The sequence below is a fragment of the Homo sapiens genome, chromosome 6 (assembly GCF_000001405.40).
Source record: "Homo sapiens chromosome 6, GRCh38.p14 Primary Assembly".
NCBI lineage: Eukaryota > Metazoa > Chordata > Mammalia > Primates > Hominidae > Homo > Homo sapiens.
The window spans coordinates 139,411,101-139,438,406 of record NC_000006.12 but is presented as its reverse complement, the minus strand read 5'-3'; the positions used below and the strand labels follow the sequence as shown (position 1 = coordinate 139,438,406).

General features: G+C 41.4%; 1 long non-coding RNA gene across 1 annotated transcript in view; it reads right to left on the bottom strand.

Moving 5' to 3' along the window:
• The window catches only part of LOC107986651 (uncharacterized), a 38,036-nt gene extending 19,296 nt beyond the window's left edge, over positions 1-18,740 (bottom strand). Inside the window, exons 1-4 of the long non-coding RNA XR_001744382.1 lie at positions 18,636-18,740; positions 8,794-9,326; positions 3,556-3,629; positions 1,947-2,070 (exon numbers count right to left, since the gene is read on the bottom strand). This is a non-coding gene — a long non-coding RNA (uncharacterized LOC107986651). The remainder of the gene's footprint in view (positions 1-1,946; positions 2,071-3,555; positions 3,630-8,793; positions 9,327-18,635) is intronic.
• Between the last annotated feature and the right edge of the window lie 8,566 nt (positions 18,741-27,306).

Here is a 27,306-nt window from a genome sequence, read left to right as displayed (position 1 = left end):
AGCACTTTGGGAGGCCGAAGCGGGTGGATCACTTGAGATCAGGAGTTCGAGACCAGCCTGGCCAACATGGTGAAACCCCATCTCTACTAAAAATACAAAAAGTAGCTGGGCCTGGTGGCATGCACCTGTAATCCCAGCTACTCAGGAGGCTGAGGCACGAGAATCACTTGAACCCGGGAGGCAGAGGTTGCAGTGAGCCGGAATCGCATCACTGCACTCCAGCATGGGCGACAGAGCGAGACTCCTTATCAGGAAAAAAAAAAAAAAAAAGGAGAAAGAGAGAGAATAAACTGGAACCCATGAGGACAAATTGGAATTCACGTCTGTCTTTCATCCGCTTCAGCATCAGTGACAAGGAAATCTGCATGGTAAAGCCAACACACTTTACCATGGAGCTGTGCATATATCAGGCTAGAGATTCAGAGAAGCCAAAGGAAGATCCGTGGTTGCTGGAGGAGCTGTGGCCTGGGTGGTCCACAATGTGAACTCATGACCGTCATCAGTTTGCATAATCTGCCACTGCACCTGCAGTTCTACATCCACCTTCAGTGGGTGAAATATGGCTGCTGCTTCACTTTCTCCTTCCAGATCTTGTTCAAATCTTTTTTGTGCCTAAATGTAACCTGGAGCCACAATGAAAGGGATTACGAGAAATGGAGTTTAACTAAGATGACCCAGTACAAAGGTACACAATAGATGTCTCCATTTCTCTCCCCGGAATGAGTTTGTAGAAACAACAGCTATAATCATTCTAAATTCAATTTAATCCTAGGCTTGGCACCAAATCTCAAGGTTCTGGAATTTCCAGAAGACTTGCTTAAGGGTCTCATTCTCATGTCTAAATGTAGGAATGGAGAAGTCAACTAAATAGGAGATCCTTACAGAAACAAGAAGAAATGAAGGATTGGAGTTGGGAACTATTTGAAATTATACTAATGATCATGTCTTCTATTGAATTAAAAGCAACTACCAGTAATGTACTAAGGAGTTTTCCAAATTCCTAATCCTCTCTGTTGCCCTCCAAAAAAAAGGAGAGAGACAGAGAGAAAGATAAAAGTAGCAAGCTGCTCTTTGCATGAAGAAGTCATTCATGTATTCATCGACAAGAAGCAGCAGCCAAGCATTTACAGAGTACCTATCCAGCTACTCGGGCAGGCTGGGCACTGTGCTAATATAGCGTCCTACATGGGGACTGTCTTACAGAAGATTGGAAAAAGGATAAGAATCCATTTTTAGCATATTTGAACAGAAAGTTGCTATGCAACAGCCTCACACCTAAGCAAAATGCTGGCTGCTGGCCTTCAGCCTGGGCATGGCCCAGGGCAGGTGGAGGCAACTGACACCAAGGACATTCTCTCAGAGACAAGACAGCCCCTGGAAGCCCCACTAGCAGATCTACCTGGGATCCTTAGATTAAAAATTATGTGCAAATAGCTATCAAAATGTCAGAGAACACTCAACTAAAAGCATGATCATGATCGTCATCATCATCATCATCGTCATGACTCCTGCTACCCACACAATCTGCAAATAGCAAGACTTTTGTCCTTCTACACAGACGTGGAGTCCAGCCAAATACCTCTGTGGCCTGAGGCATCTGCAGATCTGGACCCAGTCAACAGAGGTTGAGTGATTGGATGTGGGCCAGAAAATTCCTTACTTTTATTTCTTCCACTTGGTGGAATAAGAACACAGTGTTGTCTTGGTAAAACCCGCTCCTGTGCTTCTTCCCTTTGCAAAAGGCAGGCTGGACATCATTACTTTGAAAACATGACATTTTTTGCATTGGTGAGTTGGGTTGGGTTTTGTTTTGCTGTTGTTGTTTCCTGTATAATGATTATTCACATACACCTGACTAATCACTTGTCACATTAAAAGTCAAAGGCCTCCCATCAGGAATTTAGAGGATTTATTTTCCCCACCATGGAGTTCTCATCAGGACTGACCTGTTAGAACCAGTTTGATGGCCACAGCTGCTTGCATCCCCATGACTGCCGCACAGTCCCTTTAATCACTTCTCAGAGTCCAGGGAGGTCCCTGGGAAGGCTGATTCCACTGCGGGATATTTATCTGAAGTAAATTCAGAAAATGGTGTCATCTCTTGCCATGTGGATGCAGAATATCATAATAATATCATTCCTATTCGTTCCAGTAAGGTTCATTTGACTGTATCTGCTTTTATTTTAAAATAGAAATCTTGCCCTGCTGTGGATCACACATTTTCCCACCCAAGTTAATTGGTAATGCCAAAAATGTACCTTATAATGGATTTTTACTAGGCATTAAAAATATATAATTGGCCAGGCACAGTGGCTCACTCCTGTAATCTCAGCACTTTGGAAGGCAGAGGCGGGAGGATCGTTTGAGCCAGGGAGTTCGAGACCAGCATGGGCAACATGAGACCCTGTCTCTATTTTATAAATAAAAAATAATAACAAAATTTTAAAATACATAATCAAGTAAGAGCAGCTATATTGAAACATTCATATAAACTCTAGTCAATACATTTGGTTTCTCAGCTATTCCTCCACAGTGAAATATTTGGTATTAAATAAGTGTATGTTAAGTGGTAATAAATCTTCAACTTCAGTCATTTCAATATTTTGCTAACCTCCAAGCAATTGACTTTTAAATTCATCTAATTTTTATTATTATGATAATACATAAAATCATGTTCATCAATACAAAATAGATCCATTTAGCTCATCAGTATTTTATATATTCATAAATTTTATAAAATATGAGGAAATTTTCATGGTATTTTCTGATGTGCCTTGTTAGAGAATAAAATTTATGCTTTTGAAAAATTATATTTGGTTACTAGTCTTTCCCTCTAGTCTTATAATTTTCTGACAAAAAATACACCCTCTACAATAAAACATAAATATTCAGAATTTGAAAACACATGACAATGATGAATTGGTCACATTTACATTTATTAACTATAACAAAAATGTAATATCTACCATCAGTAAGAACTTGCTATATGCCAGGTGCTGTGCTAAACACATTATGTGGGTTACCTCCCTTAATCCTTATAAAACTTCTGTGTGTGAGTACTGAGTACTATAAGTATTAGACCCATTTCATACATAAATAACATATGCTGTAGAGAGGTAAAGTAAATATACAAGGCTACCCAGCTGGTAAGTGGTACAACTGGGATATCAGTCACAGGTCTGATTCTAGAGTTTGAGCTCGTGCCACACAGACTAGTGATCTTCAGTTTAAGGGGGATGAAGGGTTACAGAGTTCTCTGAGAAGCTGGTTAAAGTTACAGGACCTCTCACGAGGAAAATGCAACCCCCCCCACACGTACACACACATTTTCACTGCATACAGTTATAAGGGTTTCTAGAACCCCTTAAAAACCATCCAGCATTTCCTTGGTATCCATAAGCCCTAAATTATGGCACTCCTATTTAAATATTTCCTTAAGTATTAAGGTGTAGGGATTTGATTGCTGACTATCTAAAGACATTGCTCTGCAAATGAAAATGTTACATGAATGTGGAGAAAGAGCAACCCAGATACTTAGACACCTGAATGTCCTACCTGTGGTCAGAGCCAGGGAGTCAGAAAATAAGGAGTCCTGCCCTACAGGTGTCTGTGTTAGGTTCTTCCAGTTACTGCAAGAAATGAGGGAGGAGTGGTGGTTGTAAGAATACACACTGGAGAGAGAACCTCACAGAAATAAGAACAAGCACTGTGGTAGGGCCAGACCTTTCTGAGCATGAAATTGGACAAGAAGATTGTGCAGGTCCAGAGACAATTCTCTGCCAGCAGCAGCAGGGTTATGTGGTGGGACCCCTGTGATCTGTCTCTGCTCATCCACTCAGTTCTCTTCTATCTAACTGATTTATTCTTTACTCCAGATTGTATGGTTCACACCTCGGGGACTCCCACGTGGAAGTGCAACCTCTGAATTCTTAAAAATTCCAGTTTCTGCTTCTTCATAACTTCAGGTTACCATGACACTTCATGGTTCTAACTTTACCTGAGTTTCTCTCTTGCATCTTCACAGCTACCATTTCCTCCTCTGGAATTAATGGAGTTAATGGTCCCATTCTCTCAGTATTTCTCAATTCAAGAGTCTGGTTGCAGCTGATGTCTTTTGCATGAGGTCAGGCCACAGGTTTTGAACCAGTTCATAGTCTGGCTGTGCTGACAGACACCACCCCTAATCCAATCAGCAGCAGCTGGTGGCAGAGAAGATAGGGGACTCCTCTAGGGAACTGAACATGCCCCTGTACTAGACCAGCATAGGGTCCTTTCCTCATGGGCTGGAGAATTTCCTGTACATAGGTATAGGGAGAAAATATCTAGTACAGACCCCCAGGATAGGCTGTCTGTGAAAAACACCATGCCACCATCTACACTTTGAACTGATTCCATCTACTATCCAGTCCTCCACACCGTTCAGGTGGGTGTATGTTTAGATAGGGATTAAATGGCAGTAGAAATCCACATTCCTGATGAAAGGCCAGGGATTAAGGAAAACATCTGGAGCTGAGACCGGCCAGGTGTGCCCATCAGTTGCATGTTGTCCAGGATACTTGTGCCAAGAGATTTTTGTGTCAAGCTTCAGGATACATCATACTTCCTGGTATATTTCACTGGTTGCTCACTGAGCCTTTTAAGGAGGAAGTAGCTTAAAGGGCACTGTGACACATGCAGCATAATAGAATTACAGAGTTAGACCTTTAAACATCATCTAATCTACCCACATATATTATGGAGAGGGAGCCTGGCCTGGGAGGAGCTAAGTGCTGTAAGAGAAGCACACAGAGAGTTAGCAGTGGGCTCCCCATTTCTAAGCAGTCACATTTGCTCTTTATTCCCTTGCTGTCTTTGAGAATGCTATCATTCTGTAGCAAAATTTTAAAAGAAAACTAGAAAAGCCTATCAAATAGTATCTCACATTAAGGTTTAACCCCAATTCATGTATATGTACAGAGTCTCTCTAATCACAGATAAATAATTTATTAGGAATAACCCTAGATTAGAGGACTCACTCTGTCCCTCTTAGACATGTGAATTAACCTTTATTTCTTCATATGAGAAATAATTCATTATGCAACATGTATTTATCTAACAGACACTAACTGAACGTCTGCTCAGTTTGGGCTCTAAGTGTAAAATGATGTATTAACAATTGTCTTTTCTTTATTTAAAAAAAAAAAAAAGGTGGCCAGGCGCAGTGGCTCACTCCTGTAACCCCAGTACTTTGGGAGGTCAAGGCGGGTGGATCATGAGGTCAAGAGATCAAGACCAATCCTGGCCAACATTGTGAAACCCTATCTCTACTAAAAATGCAAAAAGTAGCTGGGAGTGGTGGCACACGCCGTAATCCCAGCTACTCGGTAGGCTGAGGCAGGAGAATGGCATGAACCCGGGAGGCAGAGGTTGCAGTGAGCCAAGATTGTGCCACTGCACTCCAGCCTGGCGACCAGGTGAGACTCTGTCAAAAAAAAAAAAAAAAAAAAAAAAAAAAAGCTTTTATACTCTAGTAGGGGGTATAAAATAGCTGCAACACCCAAGGAATTATGGTAGCAAATAAAGAGAAGAAAACTCACTCTGCCTAGCTAGAAGGGGTCAGGGAAATCTTGCCAGATGGACATAACAAATGTAAAGGTGCAGGTATAGGAAGAGTTAGCCAAGCAGAGTGGGGCTTTGCAGGCAGACGAGGGACAGCATGGGGCATTGAGGAAAGAAGTACAGAATGAAGCACAGACATCAAGGAAAAGGCAGAGTGGGAATGGCAGAAGATGAGGCTGGTAAGTAACACTAGTACCAAAGAACTGCACACAGCATCCTTTCTGTCTGGCCATTGGCAATGAGTAATGCAGGCAGGTTTTTATTTTACAACTGTTATCCCAATGGCAGTATAGAGTACGTGCATGGAGAGCTTACAACCACGAAGACAAGTCCAGAGACTGATGCAGTGGTAGTGGGGCCAGAGAGGATTAGGCATATTCTAGAGACTTTTTAAAGTATAATTGAAGGTTTTGAGGTGGATTATAAGCCATGGGTAAGGATGTGAGGGGAGAAGGAGAAGTGGAAGATGCAGCCGTGATCCTGGCCATGGTAGGGGGAGCAGGAACTAGTGGGTTTTGTTTGGGACATTTGATTGAGGCTCTAGTAAAACAGCCAGGCCTAAAGTTCCTGTAGAAGATTAGGTAGTAGATCCAGAGTTCAATGAAGAGATCGGCTAGGAATGTAACCATTGGCATCTATAGGTAGGTGGTTCCCAAAACAGAAAGGAATGAGGGCTGTCAGATTTACCTGGGAAACTATTTCCAACTACATCTACCAACCCTTTGACATCCTCCAGTGCCATTCCTCCCATCCCCTAACTGCAAGCCATTCCAATTATTGGGTTTGTCAGCCATCAGTGGAGTACATTAACACCAGTGATAGAGAACAGGAGATAGTCTCCTTAGGGACACTGATATTTAAGGGGTAGGATAAAGGAAAAGAGTGGCAATAGATCCCAAGGAGCATCCAAGAAGACAGTAAATGCCTAGCCTGTCTGGGCCACTATAGCAAAATGCCATAAACTGGATACCTTATAAACAACAGCAATGTATTTCTCACAGTTCTAGAGGCTGGGAAGTCCAAGATCAAGGCAGATTCCACATCTGGTGGTGAGGACCCACTTCCTCATTGACAGCTGTCTTCTCCCTCTAACCTCACATGGCAGAAGGGGTAAGAAATCTCTCTAGAGCCTCTCTTATAAGGGCACTAACCTCATTTATGAGGGCTCTGGCCTCATGACCTAATCATCTCCCAAAGGCCTTGCCTCCTCACACCATCATTTTGGGGGTGAGGACTTCAACATATGAGTGAGGGGATCCAGAGGGATGGGGGCAGACACAAACATTCAGACCATAGCAGTAAGAAACTATTGGTTCAAAGTCTCACAGACACCAGGAGAGAATGTCAACAATAAGGGCATGGCCAGTCATGTCAAACACAGTAAAGAGGTTATGTGAAGTAGACTCAAAAGGATTGGCACTGTCTGCACTGCCCCACATAGCTGTGACAAGGACCAAATAAGAAATACATAAAGGTGCTTTCTAAAATACAAAATACGATACAACATAAGCAGTTATTATTATTATAACCTAAGACTCAACTCAGGCCCAGCTTATTCTGGAGAGCTTCACTGTCCCTCCAAGCCACTCCACTGAGGTTCCTCAGCACCAAGTAGCAGCCCGGGGCAGAGGCTGTGTTTACTCAGCCTGTGCCCAGCATTAGAATGGCGCCTGGCCTCCAGGAGGCAGGGAGCATATGCTCATGGGATGAGTGGAGGACTACGATTGCCTCACTGCATCCCATGATTTCCTTAAGAGGAGGACTAGGATTGCCTCACTGCAACCCATGATTCCCTTCAACATGGAAAATATACAGATTCAGATTGCTTTTTGAAAAAACAGAATCCAATCTGCTTATTTCTTTTTCTTGGCATATATTTGTTTCTGTTTTATTTTATGCCTTCACAGTTTAGGAAAATTGAATCAGCTCCTTATAATTATTGAATAAATATAAATCTAAGAAGTATTCCTTGTGGAGAGCCTTGTCCTCCTCCTCCTATCTCCCTTTCTGCTGGGCACCCTGGATCTCACCAAAGCCCATGCTGGCTGTCTAATTTCCAGCATGCTCATATCCAAATGAATCTGAACTCATTTTGCAAGTAAAATGTTTTGAGAGCTGACCCAAAGTGCTTTCCTAAATTCTGAATATTTAACATCTGTTTGGCCAGACTCAATTGTTAGTCTTGTAAGTCTCCTTAAATCCACCAGTTTGGCTTGCCGCAATTGATCACTTCGAAATCTATGTTATTTATTGCCCTTGATTACATCAACAAAGGTATTCTGAACTGTTTTTGTGGGTGGCAGGGGGGATCTTTTTCTTTTTCTTTTTATCTTTTTTTTTTTTTTTTTTGAGACAGAGTCTCACTCTGTCGCCCAGGCTGCAGTACAGTGGCACAATCTCGGCTCACTGCAGCCTTGACTTCTTGGGCTCAAGCAATCCTCCTGACTCGGCCTCCTGAATAGCTAGGTGTTCAATACTGCTGTTGTTTCTCTCAATTTTTCTTACATTGTCTTGTGAAATCATCATATCTAATTTACTAGGAGGTCATTTCCAGACACCTTTTTTCCAGCCATTGCAAATTTATTCCTGAATCTCCTCCCAGCTCTATGGTGCATTGTAAAGGATAATAAACTCAGAAAGTTTATCTTCTAGACTTGCAGATTTTTCCGAGCATTTACATTTCAGACACCTACTTTTAATGAGCAGATATTTTTACAAGGTGTTTCTGCTAATCATCTATTTTTGTTTCTCAGGTGGTTATGCAATCTCTCCAAGGCTGAGAGGAGCTTTTTAGTCTTTAGGGCATGCGCACCTACCCCCCACCACCACACTCCTTGTGTACACACTCTGTCCCTCTGCAGTATACCGGCCTTCCTCTTTTTCCTTTCTTACCCAACAGGGAGCCATGAAGAGAACATCCCCACCCTGCAAGTTTTGTTAGCAGCAGCTACCATTGCTTTCAGCCTCACTTCATCCTCTCACCCTTTCAGCCTCAGGCCTGGCAGCAACAACAGATAGGGAAGGGGGAGCTAGCAGTTGCTAAGCGCTATCATAGTAACATGAACAAGCCGAGGAGACTCTTCTGGGCCTCTGTGCTCACCCTGCAACACACAAAGACAGAATGGATTTCTGCCTCTTCCTGCGGACGGGGAGGTTCAAGGCAGAAGAGGGATTAAAACAGAGAGCTGAACATACCTTGTTCAGATGACACAGGGGTGCCTGTTAGTAAACTCCTGGCCAGGCTCAAGATTTGTGAAATACCAGAAGCATCAGGCATCCACACAGACAGAGAGACACCCTTCTCAGAAGTCTCAGGAGCAGGCAGTCTTGAGCCACCACTCTTCCTTGCTATGAGTTTGATCAGCACCCAGGGCTTCTAATCTTGTGTCTCTCAGTGCCATATTCACAGGAGAGAGAAGCTTACATATCAAGCTTGGATCAAGAATTTCTGGACCAGTCAGCTAATAGTCAGGAGCAAAGAGTTCATGTAGATACGGAGATCTTGCAAATTTCTGTCAACCATGGCACCATCATAATTTGTACCTTTGACATCCTAAAACACCAGCTCTTCCTTTAAAAAAATATTTCCTGCTCACACTCCCATATCTCTGCCAAAGGATCTCAATCCTCCAAACTGCTAAATTTTTCTCTAGCGAACCTTCTAAATACGCTTTTCCTTGATCAAAAGTAGAAATAAAAATTGTTGAGGTTCTTCGTTTCTTCCAGCTCTGGAAAAACAAAGGAAAAAGAACATTTGGAGAAGTCATCAGGTAAAATATTGATATACAGGCTGGGGCGGTGGCTCACGCCTGCAATCCCAGCACTTTGAGAGGCTGAAGTGGGAGGATCGCTGGAGCTCAGGAGTTCAAGACTAGGTTGGGCAACATAACGAAACTCTATCTCTACAAAAAATACAAAACAACAACAACAACAACAAACAATTAGCTGGGTGTGGTGGTGTGCACGTGTGGTCCCAACTACTCAGGAGGCTGAAGTGGAGGGACTGCTTGAGCCCGGGAGGTCGTTGCAGTGAGCTGTGATCATGCCATTGCACTCCAGCCTAGGTGACAGAGTGAGACCTTGTCTCAAAAAAAAAAAAAAAAAAAGATACACAGGTTAAAATATGTAACATCCTAAAGCCTCATTTTGTTTATTGATAAAGCGGTGATAATTATGTCTATCTCTTAGGGCTGTGGAAACTGAAGGAGCTATGGAATATAAAGCATAAAGCATCCCACCTCAAAAGAGCTCAATGACTATGAACCATAGTTGTGTATGTAGTGTGTATGTGAGTACATATGTTGTCTTCCTTAAGGTTTATTGCCTTGTTGGAAGTACACCAGCAAGATCACCCTAACATTGGGAGGTCGAGGTGGGCAGATCACTTGAGGTCAGGGGTTCGAGACCAGCCTGGCCAACATGGTGAAACCCCATCCCTACTAAAACTAATACAAAAATTAGCCAGACCTGGTGGTGGATGCCTGTAGTCCCAGCTACTCGGGAGGCTGAGGCATGAGAATTGCTTGAACCTAGGAGGCAGAGGTTGCAGTGAGCCAAGATCGTGCCACTGCACTCCAGCTTGGGCAACAGAGCAAAAGTCTGTCCCAAAAAAAAAAAAAAAAAAAAAGATCACCCTAACTTCAGTATTAAAAACAAGTATGTTTTCAATGAACCCTCAGTCCTTCATATTATGAATTAGAGCATTAGTATGTGTAGCAACCATGGGTCCCTGAGTGTTCAGTAGGTAACTTCTTGGTTGGAACTCTGTTTCACCTATCTGTTTGGGTTCTTTGGCTCTCTTGGGTCTTCTGCTGCACCCTGGGGCCCCTCCTCTTCTGTGGCTGATAGCCAAACATCCTGAATGGGCAAGTAATTTATTTGCCCCTGAATCTTATCAGGGGGCACTCTACCAACCTAAGGGAAACTGCCCACCTGGTGGAGAAATTCTGACTGTGGAAAATTACTGATCCACCCTGAACTACATAAAAAATCCATTTGCAAAAATCCTAAGAAGAGCAAATACTTCCCCTGGCAAGTTCTCCAGCAGGGTCCTTGGCTGGCAGGAGCAACCACCCTCGCTAGGCACCAACCAAAAGCCCAGTCCTGAGTGGTGACAAATCTGGAATCCTCTGGCAGACTCCAGCCCAGGGCCTCCTGCACAAAGGAGGCCCTTCTTACAAAGTGAGCACTGAATATGAACACACTTAGAATTAGTTTTGGCTGTAAGGGAAAAGCCAATGTGGAAAATATAATCTGATGGATAGGATTTGAAATGAAAGACAAAATATGGCTCAAGCTTCCAGAGCCTAAGCTCTTGGCAGAAGCATAAACACTTTGTGGAATCTAAGACCAGGACACAATATGATACCTCAGCAAGAACTCAAGGATAGCAAGGGATTTAAACATTAAAGGACTCACTCCACTTTTCAAACTGTGAATCACAGACTCTAAATAGAGAGGAAAAGGTGTATCAGCCAACATTTACCTTGCCTCCCCTGGGCTGAAAAACTCTTCTAGTGCCTGCAGCACTCTCTTACAAAGATGAATAAGCCAAGACCTGGCCCTTGAAGAGTTTGTACCTGGTTGGGAAGGCTGGCAGGTAACTAAAACACACGTCTTAGTATGGGACGTGCCAAACGTTGAATAAAAGTGAAGGGCAGCAGGACAGATAACTCCAGTCTTCAGGGGAGGGGGATAAGGTTTCCCAGAAGAGAAGAGAGGGCACCCTATCTGGGTCTTGGAAAGACAGCGGGATTCTGAGAGGAGCAGCAAGGACAGAGGCAGCTCAGAGAGGCCAGGACAGGGTGTGGGGAGGAACCGGGCTCTGCATGGGTGTGGCAGCTTCTCTGCCAATCGGGGTCGGCGATGGGGAGGTTTTGAACGTCCAGGGACATTGGACTTGACTCCTTGGTTCTTTCGAACATTTCAGGTCTGCTTTCAAATTGAAAAGCAACTCTGCCCTGTGTATCAATGATGAATTAGAATCAGGGAGAGAACTGAAAAGAGTATCTTTGCATATGCTTTTTGTTTCTTTTCTGCTATTTGAAAAAGTGATCACACATGCAAATCAACGATTGGCTCTTCGCTGTATCCAGCAAGTACTTATTCCTGAGTACACATTTACTCTCCACAGCAGTACTATAGGGGGTTCCCTCACCCCTGCTTTGTGGGGCCCTACCAGACCAGATCAACTTTTAGCTTAGAGGTTTTATCACCCATGTGTTCTTGGCACATTGAAGGCTAGCCTTCAATACAAAAGGGTCATTATTACCATTGCAGGGGCACAAGTCCCTTGAAATTATCTACAACATTGTTCCTGTTTGGTTTTTGTTTGGTTTACTGGGTTTCCTCTGCCTATTCTGGATGCAAATAGGAGTTAAAAATAATTCTAAAGGGATGCTATTAAGTACTTAAGCTTTCTTTTATATTATAAGAAACAATCCCATGTCTTGTTGGTAAAATCAAAACTATGTTGATGACAATTTAGACATGAAATACCCAGCAGAGACAGACCATGATTATTTATGAAAGGCTCTATCAGGAAATTATTTACATCTTTGGGCAATTTCCACTTTGCTTGTGATTTAAGTCCTATGAGTATATTTCATCTAGTTATTCACACAAAGTTAATGGAGCTGTCTCTACTGTGTTTTTGATAGCACAGCATGTTGAATCTGACTCCCACCTTCCTTTCCCTAATTATTTGTAAGCTTTCCTCACCTCTGTTTTATTTTCTTTGCAGAGTCATTCTTTATTTCAGAAGGAAGGCAACATGTGGAGTGTGAGATGTGGTTTTGGAATGTTCTCTATTTCCAGAGCCGTTGTTTGGGACCAGGTGCTGACCGGTCAGATTACAAAAACAGGAGAGTAATTTGTACTTGTCACCTGGAGAAGCTCTTGTCTAGAGATATCAAATACTATCCTTTTCACCTGATTCAGAGGAAAGAGGTAGCATCTTGGTGGCACCATTGTGCCCTCTCAAAGTGCCCTCTAGTCCTCCAAACTGTAGCTTTATTTTCTCAGTACTGAAATCATTGTGCTTTTCCCAGGCATTGAATTAAGAGAGAAGCAGTTGACTATAGGATGGGTTACTTGTCAGAAACTCACGCCTGTGGTGCTGATGGCAAAGAAAGTTCTGGCACCAGAGTTTCAAGCTGAAGGAAGATTTATTGAGAGACTAAATCAGAAGAGTATCAGTTATTTCTCCAGCACATTTTCAAATTAGATGAACATACCTGACCTCCTAATTCCCAAACCAACAGATTTTAAAGGGCAAAACAGTCACACCACAATACTGAAAGAGATCAGCCCACAAGGCAGACTGTCATTTTTAGCCACAGGTTTAAATGAGTGTGTCTTGGAATCAACACAGTGGGAAAGAGAATACATTTTCCACCATAACACACATGGGGAGCCAACACCTCCAGGACACATGGCAGACTGTGTGAGATTGTTCTAATGGAGAAATAAACCAGTCACATAAAAATTTCATTCCCAAGAAAGCATCATCACCAAACGAAGGGGGAGAATGTAGAAGGGGGGGGAGGAAAGATGGAAACTGACATATCCTGAGTATATTCTATCTAAATTTCAACCACTTTCTCCATTACCCCTTTTATATCCCTAAAAAGATTTGTAAGGTGTAACTTTTCCTCCCATTTTACAGAAAAAGAAAAAGAAACTAAGTTTCAGAGAGTAAGCTAAATAGGCTAAAGTCACACAATTAATAAAATATTATATCAGGTTTTGCACCCAAGATTCCTTATTTGAAAGCCCACCTTCCCTTTAAGGGACCACACTGCCTAATTTTAACCTGTTGTAATTCAATATTAGTACTGAATTACAACATACTCTAAAAAGCATACTCTAAAAAAGAGAAGAGTGTGGAAAGACACTAAGCTAGAAGTTCCTCAGTTGTTCACATCACTGGTAAGAGCAGGATTCTAGATTATTTTGGATAGGGTACAGAAAAAAATCATTTACATGTGATGTTAGAATGCATTACATAAGAATATTTTTGCTACAACAGAAGTAAAGTTACCTTCCCTAATGTGTTCTGATTGTACTAATACTGAAATTGGACCATGGATACAGACCACCTAGCAACTGATTAAAAGGCACCAAGAGCTTTCATAGAAAGCCAATCTAGGGACAAAAGTTTTGTCACAGATTGCAATGTTAGGAGGAAATTGTCTGGCGGCAGGAATAGGGGACCAAAGAAATTCAGAGATAAAACTTTCACCTTTATAGCCTGTCAAATTATATACCCTGAATGTACACAGACAAATTCCCCAGGCACTTTAGGAATCACATGCGGGTGTGTCTATGTGTGTGTGCGTGTCTCTATGTGTCCCATTTGCCCTCTGAAGAAGGCTTAACTAGATTATATCAAACGATGCAACCCATTTCCAGAAGATGCAATTGACGTTAAATCCCAGAAGGCAGGCTGGTATCTGCCAGTATCATTAGGGTCTAGGGAGAAACCAAAACAGATCTTGCACTTCACCAATTTTATGCTGTGGAGAAAAATGTCCCCCCACCATGATGAGCAGGGCAGGTTGCCAGCTCTCTAAAGAAATCACAGGTGGCCTGTAAGGATAACCTGGTATCAGGAACCACAGTGGTGATAATCGAGCACACAATGTAAGCAGATTTCTTTTTAACCACCACTTTCCCGGAACTGGAAATATGCCATCAGGTGTGAACCTACTTAATCACTATATTAGAAGTTGCCAGCTGGGCACAGTGGCTCACGCCTGTAATCCTAGCACGTTGGGAGGCCGAGGCGGGTGGATTGCAAGATCAGGAGTTCGAGACCAGCCATTTCAAGAATAACCTGGCCAACATGGTGAAACCCCATCTCTACTAAAAATACAAAATTAGCCAGGCCTGGTGGTGCGTACCTGTAATCCCAGCTACTCAGGAGGCTGAAGCAGGAGAATTGCTTGAACCCGGGAGGCAGAGATTGCAGTGAGCCGAGATCGTGCCATTGCACTCTAGCCTGGGTGACAGAGTGAGACTCCCTCTCAGAAAAAAAAAAAAAAAAAAAAAATGAAGTTGCCAACAAATAGCCAGGTTTGCTCTAAATAATTGTTTTGAAAAAAATTGAAGCAAAACAAAAATATTTCCCACTTAAGTCTGAAAAAGAATACTGAGAAAAAAAAAAAATTCAAGACACTCAGCTTTTCAAAGACTCCATGAACCTTGGGCTTTTTGTCTGTAAAATGCTCTTTCTGCCCAAGTTGTGGTAGTATTGAAAGGAAAATTTAGAAAATGTTTCACTGAACAGAGCCAAGGCACTTCCACATTACGCAATGCATAAAGTGTATTCATATAGAATGAAATTAGTCTCAAGCAATACTGTAGTCACGCTAGCAACGAAAAAAACTAAAGAATAAGAAATTATAATATGAAGAAAATATTTGGGGGTATTCTAAATGTTGGAGCTAAAGAAAAACTAAAACGCGAATGATGAAGTAAATGATGGCTTTTCCTTTCTTTTCTTTCCTTAGTTCCATCACCTTCTAACATGCCATTTAATTTATTATCTTTATTGTGTGTCTGTCTCCCCTGCCAGACTGTACCCTCCCTGAGGGCAGGAATCTTGATAGGTTTGTTTATTCATTGCTACATCCCAAGCATCCAGCACAGTGACTGGCACATTGTAGTCAGCAAGCACATATTTCTTAACAAATTCATTTATAATGTGATAATGATGAAAGGCGCCCAGTGCACCTTTGAGAAAGACTGATGGGATGACTTTGGGCCATTTCACAGGGGAAAATCTTCTGGCTGCTTTCTTTTAGTCAGGGATTTATAATGATGGAGGAATCTGGGGTTGCTCTGGACACCGTAGATCTCAAGGAGCTGGAATGGTGTTCTCTGAATATTTTGTGATGAAGAGTGAGAGCATCCGTCACCTCCTGGTCACCTCAGCTGCTCCTCTTCCCACGCTGGGTGTGTGTGTGCTAACAACACGCTGGTACATTCGCTTTTGGCTCTTCCACCCAGAAGAACATCTGAATCCTCCATGGGGTCTTCCTCTCTCTTCCCCTGGGCCTGTTGTTGGCGTTTCCCTTAGCAGAGTTCCATCCATTTTCCTAGAAACACTGCCTATTATCAAAAGGTCTGGAGCTAGGGGCAGGGAGCAGGTTGTGGTGTGAAACCCTCTAGACTCTTTGGTGGAAGGGAGGAAGCTCCAGCCCACCCCTCCCTTTGGGGTAGGAGGAAGAGCCCAGGGTTTGCTTACCCAGGGGAGACAGTTCTGCTGGGATCCAGCTCCCCAGCCTTGCTGAAGTCTGTGTTCTCAAGCCAGCCCTGTCATTAACCAATGTTTCTTATTTAGTTCTTAGAATTTTAGAGTAAACTTAGAAATACAATTTAACTTCCTCATTTTAGAAAAAAGAAAACTAAAGCTCAGAGAGGGAAATTGACTTGCTAAGGTCACACAACTAGCAAGTCGGAGGCAGAGAAGCCTTCACCACCTTGACGACACCTGTCCTGGCAGCACTAGGTGTGTCTGGTGAAAGTCAGGCATGACCTTGACAAGAGTCAATAGTAGCAACACGGTAAGAGTAGCAGCAAAAGTTGCATGCCTTTGTAGGAATGAATCAGATTTTTGTAATTTTTGAAATGATACAGCCAGATAAATCCAGTAATAGTTACTTGATTTATATTTTTTTAGAGTACTCATCTTTTTTTCCAAAAGGCTTTCCCAGCAGGTTACTTAAAATAACCTATTCCCACAATGTATTTGAAATATGGTTTCATTCACACATTTTGCTGCTTAATCTCAATGCACTGTGTAGTCTTTTAAGGTGTGATTGAACTCACAACTTCCTGATGTAATCATTATGACAAATGAGTTGTCTTTTTCAAGAGATGTGGCTGAGTTTATTCTTATTTATGGGTTAACAAAGTTAGGCTTTGGGGTGGTGAGTGAGCGGGAGTAAGTACAGGTGAAATCAAGCAGATCAACCCTAAACAATATTTTGGCAAAAAACAAGTTATAGATTGGTGCCCTTGTGGGGAGTAGAGGGTTGCCCCTAAAGTCTAAATTGGCAGATTAAAGAAGCCAAGAAAAGCAAGAACATTCAGGTCATAATATTCTAAGCTCCTTTCTGCTCTAGAACTGAATTAAGTAGAATTGAAGGTGTACCGTCTAGTCCAACTATTTCACAGTTGGATAAGAAAACAAAAGTCCAGAGCAGAGACTGACTTGTCCAAGGTCAGCGAGGTCAGCTGGTTCCCAGTGGGGTTCTTTTTTTTAGTGTAGAGCTTGCACCGGGTGGAAAGGGAGAGCAGTAGGATAAGACAAGAGAGGAGCATGGAATTCTCAGGAAATGTCAGGAGCTCCTCCCTACCGATAGGGAAGCTCTCAAAGTATTTTTGTCAACTCCAGCTAGTTCAGGCAAAAGAGAGTAAATGGATCTTTCAGAATCACTGGACACAGAGCATAAGCTAAGGCTAGGTAAGCAAGCAGGCCTTCTTGGAGGTGAATTTCTTTCTAGGACTTGAGACGTTCCCTGGATGGGGACAGATAGCCCATGAGTGGGAGTGGGCTGACTGTCAAAGCCCCCACCAGCATCTACAAGTACAGTCCTAAGAGTCTTGCCTCTAAGTCTATGGTTCTAAGCCTGGAGACCTTGGGAAATGTCTGAAGATCCTTTGGTTGTCACAACTGGGGAAGGTGGTGCTACCCCCATCTAGTGCCTAGATGCCAGAGATACTGTGAAAAATCACAGCCTACCACTCTACCAAAAAGTATCCCACTCCAACTGTCAATAGTGCCAAGGTTGAGAACGAAACCTTGCTCTACCTACCTATCCATCAGTGTTCTGCTAAGACTCAGTATTACTTCATCAAATGTTACTTTCTGAACCCAAGAAATCAAATAACAATTATAATGGTTCATTCTTCTCTCTCTTTAGATGTTTTGATTTTAAACTCCCCCCTAACCCCCCCACCAAAAAAAAAAAAAATCCGGATGAAGAGGAGCTAAGCAGGAGAATAGGAAACAGCAATTTCAATAAAAAATACTTAACACTGAAAATGTATGCGTAGGAGAGACTATTTTCCATGTACTTATATTTTTCTTGTTCTTTGTTGTCATTCCACCATCCTTGGTAAATTTGTTTTCATTTTAAGTGTTACAAGCAGTTATTATGTATTCCAGGCAGGATTCCCAAGCTGTGACAATTTAAATGAGGGAGACTTTTTTGTAAGGAAAAAAAATGATAAAAAATATATAAATGGTTTGTTGAAACACTGAAGAAAAGCTTGCCTCAGAGAGCAAAATGCTTTTTAGGTAGTCTTAATATTAACCGAAAATGAAAATGTCCTTCACTTTGAAAGGGTAAGATTTGGCAGGTATGAGATATAAGAGGGCAACGAGAGTCTCCTCCACATTGACAACTGCATGTTTCTTGAAAAGACTTTGAAAGAAATAGTAGATAAGGAGCTACAAGTAATTTTTAAAATGGCTTAAATCTTTTACATGTTCACCTCAAAGAAAGAGAGAAACTCACAATGGCAGCGTGGAAGAAGAGAAGGGGTTGTGGATGAAGGATCTGAAAACTTGGATTTTATCCAAGATCGTTAAAATGTTCCATGACCTTGGACAAATGATCTATCACTTAGGTTTCCGTTTACTCTAAATAATAATAATAATAATAATAATAATAATAATAATAATAATAATAATATGTGACTTGGCCGGGCTCAGTGGCTCATCCCCACAATCCCAGAGCTTTGGGAGGTCAAGAGGGGAATATAGCTTGAGGCCGGGAGTTCCAGACCAGCTTGGGCAACATAGGGAGACTCGCTTCATCTCTACAAAAAAATTAAAAATTAGCCAGATATGATGATGAGCGCCTGCAGTCACAACTACTCAGAGGGTGAGGCAAGAAAATCACTTAAACCAAGGAGTTCGCAGTTGCAGTGAGCTAAGATCACACCACTGCACTCCAGCCTGGGCAACAGAGTGAAAGCTGTCTTTCTAAAAATTAAACATAATAATAATAATAATGCATACTTACCGACTTCATAAGGTTATTTCAAGTTTCAAAAGGTATGTAAGTGAAAATGCCAGTGCTCAGACTCCCCTCAGTATTGCTTTATAGTTCCCACACCAGCGTGATCAATGCTTTCATGAATATGAAGAGTGATCACTCCTGGCAAACAAAGTCAGGATCAAACCAGGAAATTATGACAAAGGAGACTGTTGTGTTACTTATCACACATTTTCAAAGTTCCTTTTTTTAATTCCTTTTTTTTTTTGTCTGTTTAAGTTGAGGCATCGTTGGTGTAGGATGTATGTGGCCCAAATAAATATCTTTACAGAAAAAAGAAGTCATGACAAGGTATCATGCCCCTGAAACCAAAATATTGGAATGTTTGCTCCCAAAGGGAAAATTTGCTTTCTTGAAATTTCTGACAAGCTGGTAAATAAGTGAAAGAGTTAGCAAGGCATGTTTCTTACAGTGCAGAAGGAGCCAACCAGTGGAATTTATTTACCTCGTAAAGTCACTCAAAATCTTATCAGTTATGTTGCAGCATTAATATGAGACAGGGAATGCATCTTGGTTTGCAGAGGTTCAGTGACAGGCTGGGGTTGACACAAACAGAAAATTAATATTAAAGGAAAGGAGAAAAAAAGCAGTACCAGATGACAAACCAGCATATCCAAAAAGAAGAGAAGAACATTTGGAAGTTGTTATTTTCTTTATGTGTCTTTAGTATTTTTAATGCAGAATTTTGTGGAGACCACAAAATGGTGGGTAAAGGAAAACTACTGGATGTAATTTATTTAGACTCTCAAAGGGCTTTTGATAAAGTCCTACACAGGAGACTATTAAGGAAACTTGGTAACTACTGGGCAAGAGGTAAAGAGCTGTCAATCATAGGTTAAAAGTGGGTTAAGAGATAGAGGCGGAGCAAAAGAATAAACGACCAGCTCTCAGCATGGAAAGGAGTTAATTGTGGGGTGTCAGCGATCGATGCAAGAGCACTGTCCTCCAGGATACGTGGTAACATCCTAGAAAATGGACTAAATAATGAGGTGCTGAGATTTGCTGACTACACAAAACTATTTTGGTTCCCTAAGTTTACACAGATGGATGTGAAAAACATAGAATCCAAACTCAGTAATTGGGCAAAACAGTGGCAGATGAAGCTCAGAACAGACAAGTGCAAAGTCATGCACATTGGAAGTAGCAACTTAAATTACTCATCCACTTGGGTAAGTTCTGAATTAGTTCTAACCTTACAGGAAAAAGATGTAGGCTCACAGAACACATCTTAATGAAGATGTATGCATGATGCTCAACAGAATTTTAAAGCAGAAAAGTAAATATACTGTTAAATTGTAGTAAGAATAACAGAGAATATATTCCAGTGTTGCTACAAGATCATTGTACCCATTTGTCCTACATTTAGTTAAAGTCATCTTATTACCAAAGGAAGATGGTGAAAATAGAAAGCAGCATCTGATAACATCCAGGAAAATAATTAGGAGCAGTGGGAAGGGACAGGCAAAATTTTATATGAGAAGTGTTTTTTTAAGTGAGCAATTAGTTAATAATTTGAACAAAGAAAAGTTGAATATAAGGAGGGCATACATGTTTTCCATAAAGGTAAAAATGTAGAGTAATAATTTTGTAACTTAGATTTAGGTAGACTAGAAACTGTCTGTAAATGGCATCAAAGATAACCTGGATTTTCTTCTGATGTGAGATGCTGTGAGCTGTTGGAGTTCTGTTTTTCCTCATGAAAGCCAGTCCATCTTCCAACCTACAGTAGCCATATTTCATTTGTTCTAAGATGGGAAATAAGGGAATATACCCATTATAAAGTTTCAGGATGGGTGTGGTGGCTCACACCTGCAATCCCAGCACTTTGGGAGGCCAAGGTGGGAGAATCACTTGAGGCCAAGAATTCGAGACCAGCCTGGGCAACATAACAAGAACCCATCTCTACAAAAAGTAAAAGAAATAGCCAGGCGTGGTGATGTGTGCCTGTGGTCCCAGCTACTCAGGAAGCTGAAGTGGGAGGATCCCTTGAGCCTGGGAGGTCAAGGTTGCAGTGAGCCGTAATCGTGCCACTGCACATCAGCCTGTGTGACTTTGTCTCAGAAATAAAAGAAACAAAAAGTAAAGTTTCATAGACGTAATTTGTGACTTTGTCTCAAAAATAAAACAAACAAAAAGTAAAATTTCATAGATGCTATTTCTAAAATCATTTATGATATTTTGTCTCTTCTTCCAAGCCCAGAAAGTTGCATATTGATTTCATATTGATATTATGTATCAACTCCAATGAAATAAAGACAAGTGCCAGGTTAATCCAACAGTTAAGTTATTGAGTTCACCTTATCTTGTAAGTTCCCAGATACACAAATCATTGCACACTTTCCCTCTTCCCTCTTCTCCAAGAGGCAATTTATCCATGGACCTGACCACCAGGAGCAGTAAGATCTGTTTGCCTCTCTGTCCTTTCCTTCTCCTCAGATGTTTAGCTGAGATTGGCAGCTATGGTTACTGAAGTCAGGAGGAACTAAACCCCAGGCTTCCAGAGATTAAGCATCCATTGATGGAGGCCTGAAAGAAATACTCTCCCCCAATGCCAAAGTGCTTTACAATTGACCCAGTGCTTGTTGAGAAAATGACATCCTCACAGTCAAGCTAAGGATTGCACAAGTGGGCAGGTGCATGGAGGGTGAGGGAAAAAATGGGTGGGTTGGAAAGCGAGGACAACTACTGACTAATTCCCTTCCTGCAGCATTTACACCTCACCAGAAGACTGGAGTCGAGTTGTTAGAGTCTTGGGTGCTTCTTAGCCTGTATTTACTATTTACCATGTTCAAGCAATTGATGTGGTACGGGACTTCAGAAGTACCTTTCCCTGTGTGTTTTCCTTCCCGAAATCTAATCCTTTTGCACTGTGGTAAACAAAAATGAACTAAGAATGAATAGCAATAAAGCACGAGCAAGAACAAACCAAATACTGATGTAACAATAGCATTAATAGAAGCTAAAATTTGAATTTCACTGCAAAAAGAGTCTCAGCATAGCAATTTTTTTTAAATCCTGCAAGTGGTGTATAAGTATTCTGTAAAGGATCAGCTTACCCTTAAGAAATGATATATATTAGACACGCATTTAAATGCTTACTGAAACATTTCAAGTGACATATAGATATTTTCCTCTTCAAATATGTAGATTCTTTCTAAAAGAGGGCATAAGGTAACATTTTCCACAGCAACTCTGCAAATCATAAAAGGCAGACATTTTGCTAAGTGTTGGCATCACACAAGAGGGTTATATCAAGTGGAAAGTTACTGGCATGGGTCAGTGTTTACATAAGTATCTTTACCTCTCCACTCTTTGTATCAAATGTCTTACAAGCTTCTTTTCAAAAGAAAAAAATATATATATATATATATACACAGCTGCTGAATCACTTGCTATTTTAGGAAAGTTTTACTCATCATTTATCTGTAGTTCTACCAATGACGACTCGTGGATACCAACATATCAATATTGCCCTCTCAGCTTCCACTCATACCTCACCATCCCCCAGTCTCTACAGAGACCAGATATTAAAGCATCTTTTATGAATGGCAGTATTACCACCACCATCATCCAAAACTGTTAAACTTACACATATACAAAAATGCAGAGAGACAGAGAGAAACATCTTCAGTCCCTTCAGTACTGGTCATCTAAAAGGCAATTAAAATTCTTGTAAACAACTCATTCAGATGGACATTACTTACCCAAGGCAATAACTCTCCAGAATATAGCCAAAAAGAAAAAGATTCCTGAACAGTGAAAATAGATGTCAAAAATCCATGCATTTCCCTTTCTCATGAACCCTTCAGATTGTCCCTCAAAGCCAAAGCCAGTTCACTTTTTAAAAAATTCATTAATATATTAATTGCATAAGAATATTTTTCTTCAGTTTAGATCATGCTTGCTGTTTATGAATTAAATGATAGTTCATGATAACATATATTTTAAAAATCTTAACAGCTTTATTGAGATGTAATTCACATGGCATAAAATGCATCCATTAAAGTGTTCTATTCAATGGTTTTTAAGACATTTACTGATATGTACACCTATCACCACAGACAATTTTAGAACATTTTTATCACCTCAGTGAGAAATCTCATAACTTTTAGCTGTTACTCTCCTGCCTCCCTATCTTCGTTTCCACCCCAGCCCTAAGCAAACAATAACCTACTTTCTATCTCTATAGATTGTTCTGTTCTGGACTTTCACATGAATGGAGTCATAGAATACATGGTCATTTGTGACTGACTTCTTTCACTTAGCATAATGTGCTTAAAGTTTATCCAGGCTGGGCACGGTGGCTCATGCCTGTAATCCCAGCATTTTGGGAGGCCAAGGTTCGGGGATCACTGGAGCCCAGGAGTTAGAGATCAGCCTGGGCAACATGGTGAAACCCCGTCTCTTCAAAAATTAGCAGGGTGTGGTGGTGCAAGCCTATAGTCCCAGCTACTTAAGAGGCTGAGGTGGGAAGACAGCTTGAGTCCAGGCAGGGGAGGTGTCAGTGAGCCAGGATTGCACCACTGCATTCCAGCCTGAGTGACAGAGCGAGACCCTGTCTCTAAATAAATAAATAAATAAATAAAGTTTATCCATACTGTAGCATGTATCAGTGCTTCATGCCTTTTTATGGCCAAATAATATTCCATGGACTGGATATACCAAATTTTTACTATTTCTTTTTCAGTTGATGGACATTTAGGTTCTTTCCACTGTGGCCATCGTGAATAATGCTGCTGTAAACATTCTTATACTCATACATTTCTGTGTGGACATATGTTTTCATTGCTCTTGGATATATGCTGAGGAGCAGAAGTACTGGGTCATACACTAATTGTGCAATTATTGGAAAAACTTCCAGACTATTTTCCAACATTGTTGTACCATTTTACATTCCTGCCAACAGTGATAATGGTCCCAATTTCTCCACATCCTCATCAACTTCTTATTATTGGGCTTTTTGATTGTAGACAGTGGGTGTGAAGTGGTATCTCATTGTGGTTTTGATTTGCATTTCCCCAATGACTAATGATCTGGTACCCCTTTTCATGTGCTTATTGACCCTTTGTATATTTTCCTTGGAGAAAAGTCTATTCAGATCCTTTGCCCATTCTTTAATTGGGAACCAGTTACTTTTACTTTACATATAATGTTAAAGCTGATTTTTCAGCTAACAAAATGATCAGAAATAGCAAATAAGAAGTGGGAAGGAGCTATTAGAGACAGCCACACCAACTAACCTGGTATAATGAGAGAAAGAAAAAATTACAGAGAGCAAAGATAAAAACCGCAAAAAATAGAGCATTCTCTAGTCCTATAGAGAAAATTTCAATGGGCCCTGGCAGCATCTCTGTGCTATAATATGGCAAGTGACTGAAGTTTACTGTGATTATCTTAAATCCTCTTTATAGGATCATTTTAAATTCTATTTGGCTTTTTTTTTTGAAAGGCTAGGAGGATTATAATTTGGAGCTATGCTGAAGGGGAATTGATAGTTATTATCAATGGTGTACTCCTAAATGTTTAACAACCAACTCTCCAAGGGGAAGAAAAAGTCTGATTCATACTTTCACCATAACTGATTTCAAGCTACCAAATCAGGTCAACCTGCTCAAGAACTTCCAGAAAATTCAACTATCAGCTCCCAAACTATTAGAAGCCAGCTTAGACTTACTACAGCTTAATGTGTGACTTTTAAAAAGCTGGTCACTAGGTTCATCTCCTTACATACTACCATAGTTTGAATGTTTACATCCCTTCCAAAATTCATGTTGAAACTTCATCCCCAATGCAACATTATTAAAAGGTATGGAATTGGGAGGTGATTAGGCCAAAGGGTTCTGCTCTCATGAATGAATTAGTGCTCCGATAAAAGGTCTGGAGGGAATGAGCTAGGTCATTTTTTTTTCACTTCCTTCCTTTCTATCATGTGAGGACACAGCATTCAAGGTGTCATCTTGGAAGTACAGAGCAGCCCTCACCAGATGCTGAATCTGCCATTGCCTTGGCTTGGACTTTCCAGTCTCTAGATCTTTAGAAGATGTTTGTTCTTTTCTTTTCTTTTTGAGACGGAGTCTTACTCTCACCCAGGCTGGAGTGCAGTGGTGCAATCTCGGCTCACTGCAACCTCCACCTCCTAGGTTCAAGGGATTCTCCTGCCTCAGTCTCCAAGTAGCTAAGACTACAGGCACGTGCCACCACATGCAGCTAATTTTTGTACTTTTAGTATAGACGGCGTTTCACCATGTTGTCCAACATGGTCATGAGGTCATGAGGTCGAACTCCTGACCTCAAGTAATCTGCCCACCACATCCCAAAATACTGGGATTATAGGTGTGAGCCACCATGCCTGACCTAGAAAATGTTTATTCTTCATAAATTACCTAGTCTCAGGTATTCTGTGATAGCGGCAGGAACAGAACAAGACACATGACCTCATTTACTGTGCTCAACAACCTCAAAGAAGAAGTAAGCGTATTCATTTCCCTTTTACACAGAAGTAGACTACGGCTCAGAAAAAGTTTAGAAACTTGTCCAGGGAGACACAGCCAGGTATTGCCATGATGTTCTTTCCAAAGAGTGCGTTCTTCCTAGTACAGTAAATAAATTCCTCATTTTTAAAAGTGCACTAAGAACAATTCTTTTTGTTTTTTTTGTTTTTTTTGTTTTTTTTTTTTGAGACAGGATCTCACTCTGTCGCCCAGACTGGAGGGCAGTGGCACAATCTCGGCTCACTGCAACCTCTGCCTCCCAGGGTCAAGTGATTCTCCTGCCTCAGCCTCCCGAGTAGCTGGGATTACAGGCATGCATCCCCACGCCTAGCTAATTTTCGTATTTTTAGTAGAGACGGGATTTCACCACGTTGGCCAGGCTGGTCTCAAGCTCCTGACTTCAAAGATCTACCCGCCTCAGCCTCCCAAAGTGTTGGGATTACAAGCATGAGCCACCGCACCCAGCCAGAACAATTCTTAAATTGGGTTAAAAGGCACTTCTGAAGGAATGTGATCCATTATTCTGAAATTACACTCATTTGAAACACCACAGGCCTTGGCATCAATGGGCAAGTGAGGTGTTGATACATAGATATTTCTTTTTTTTTTTAATTATACTTTAAATTCTAGGGTACACGTGCACAACGTGCAGGTTTGTTACATAGGTATACATGTGCCATGTTGGTTTGCTGCACCCATTAACTCGTCATTTACATTGAGTCTTTCTCCTAATGCTATCCCTCCCCCTGCCCCTCACCCCAGGACAGGCCCCAGTGTGCTATGTTCCCCACCCTGTGTCCATGTGTTCTCATTGTTCAATTCCCACCTATGAGTGAGAACATGCAGTGTTTGGTTTTCTGTCCTTGTGATAGTTGGCTCAGAATGATGGTTTCCAGCTGCATCCATGTCCCTGCAAAGGACATGAACTCATCCTTTTTTATGGCTGCATAGTATTCCATCATGTATATGTGCCACATTTTCTTAATCCAGTCTATCATTGATGGACATTTGGGTTGGTTCCAAGTTTTTGCTATTGTGAATAGTGCCACAATAAACATACGTGTGCAACATACATAGATATTTCTTACTGAAACAACTAATAGCAGCTTCATCAGAAAAAAATGAACAGAGGACTAATCAGTGATGAAACCTAAAGTCAAGCAGGAATTTACAAACAAAGCTTCCCAGCACAGGCAAGCAGTGTAGAAAGTGGCTGTAAGTAATCAAGGGATAGTCCTTCCAGCTTCCCATTCAGCTGTGACTCCTGCCACGGCCAGCCCCTGCAAGGGCCCAGCAAGAGACTCTTCCACAAGTTCCAAATGCCCTAAGTGTGTGCATTCACGCATGCAAAGTTAGTGCATTAACACACCTTAACAACCTTATGGCAAAATGCGAGAAATTCCATTTCAGCCTATAGTATGTAACAATATTCCCCTCTACTTGCATTATGCATAAAAAAAGTAACACCTAACCCTGCTTTTTGAAAGCAGAGAAAGTATATCTTGGGACTGAACATTACCCAGATTCTATTCAAATAAAACAGCAAGTTCTCCACCCAGAAGCTAATGACTACTGGGATGGTTAATACTCAATGTCAACTTGCTTGGATTGAAGGATACAAAATATTGATCCTGGGTGTGTCTATGAGGTTGTTGCCAAAGGAGATTAACATTTGAGTCAGTGGGCTGGGAAAGGCAGACGGGCCCTAAATCTGGGTGGGCACAATCTAATCAGCTGCCAGCATGGCTAGAATAAAAAGCAGGCAGAAAAAGTTGAAAAGAGAGATCGGTCTAGCCTCTCAGGCTGCATCTTTCTCCCGTGCTGGATGCTTCCTGCCCTTGAACATTGGACTCCAAGTTCTTCAGTTTTGGAGCTTGGACTGGCTCTCCTTGCTCCTCAGACTGCAGATGGCCTATTGTGGGACCTTGTGATTGTGTGAGTTAATACTTAATAAACTCCCCTTTATATATATGTGTGTATATATATATATATAATTTATTTATTTATTTATTCCATTAGTTCTGTCCCTCTTGAGAACCCTAATACAATTTTTATACTTAAAAATTTGTAATTAGGCCAGGAGCGGTGGCTCACGCCTGTAATCCCAGCATTTTGGGAGGCCGAGGCTGGAGGATCACCTAAGGTCA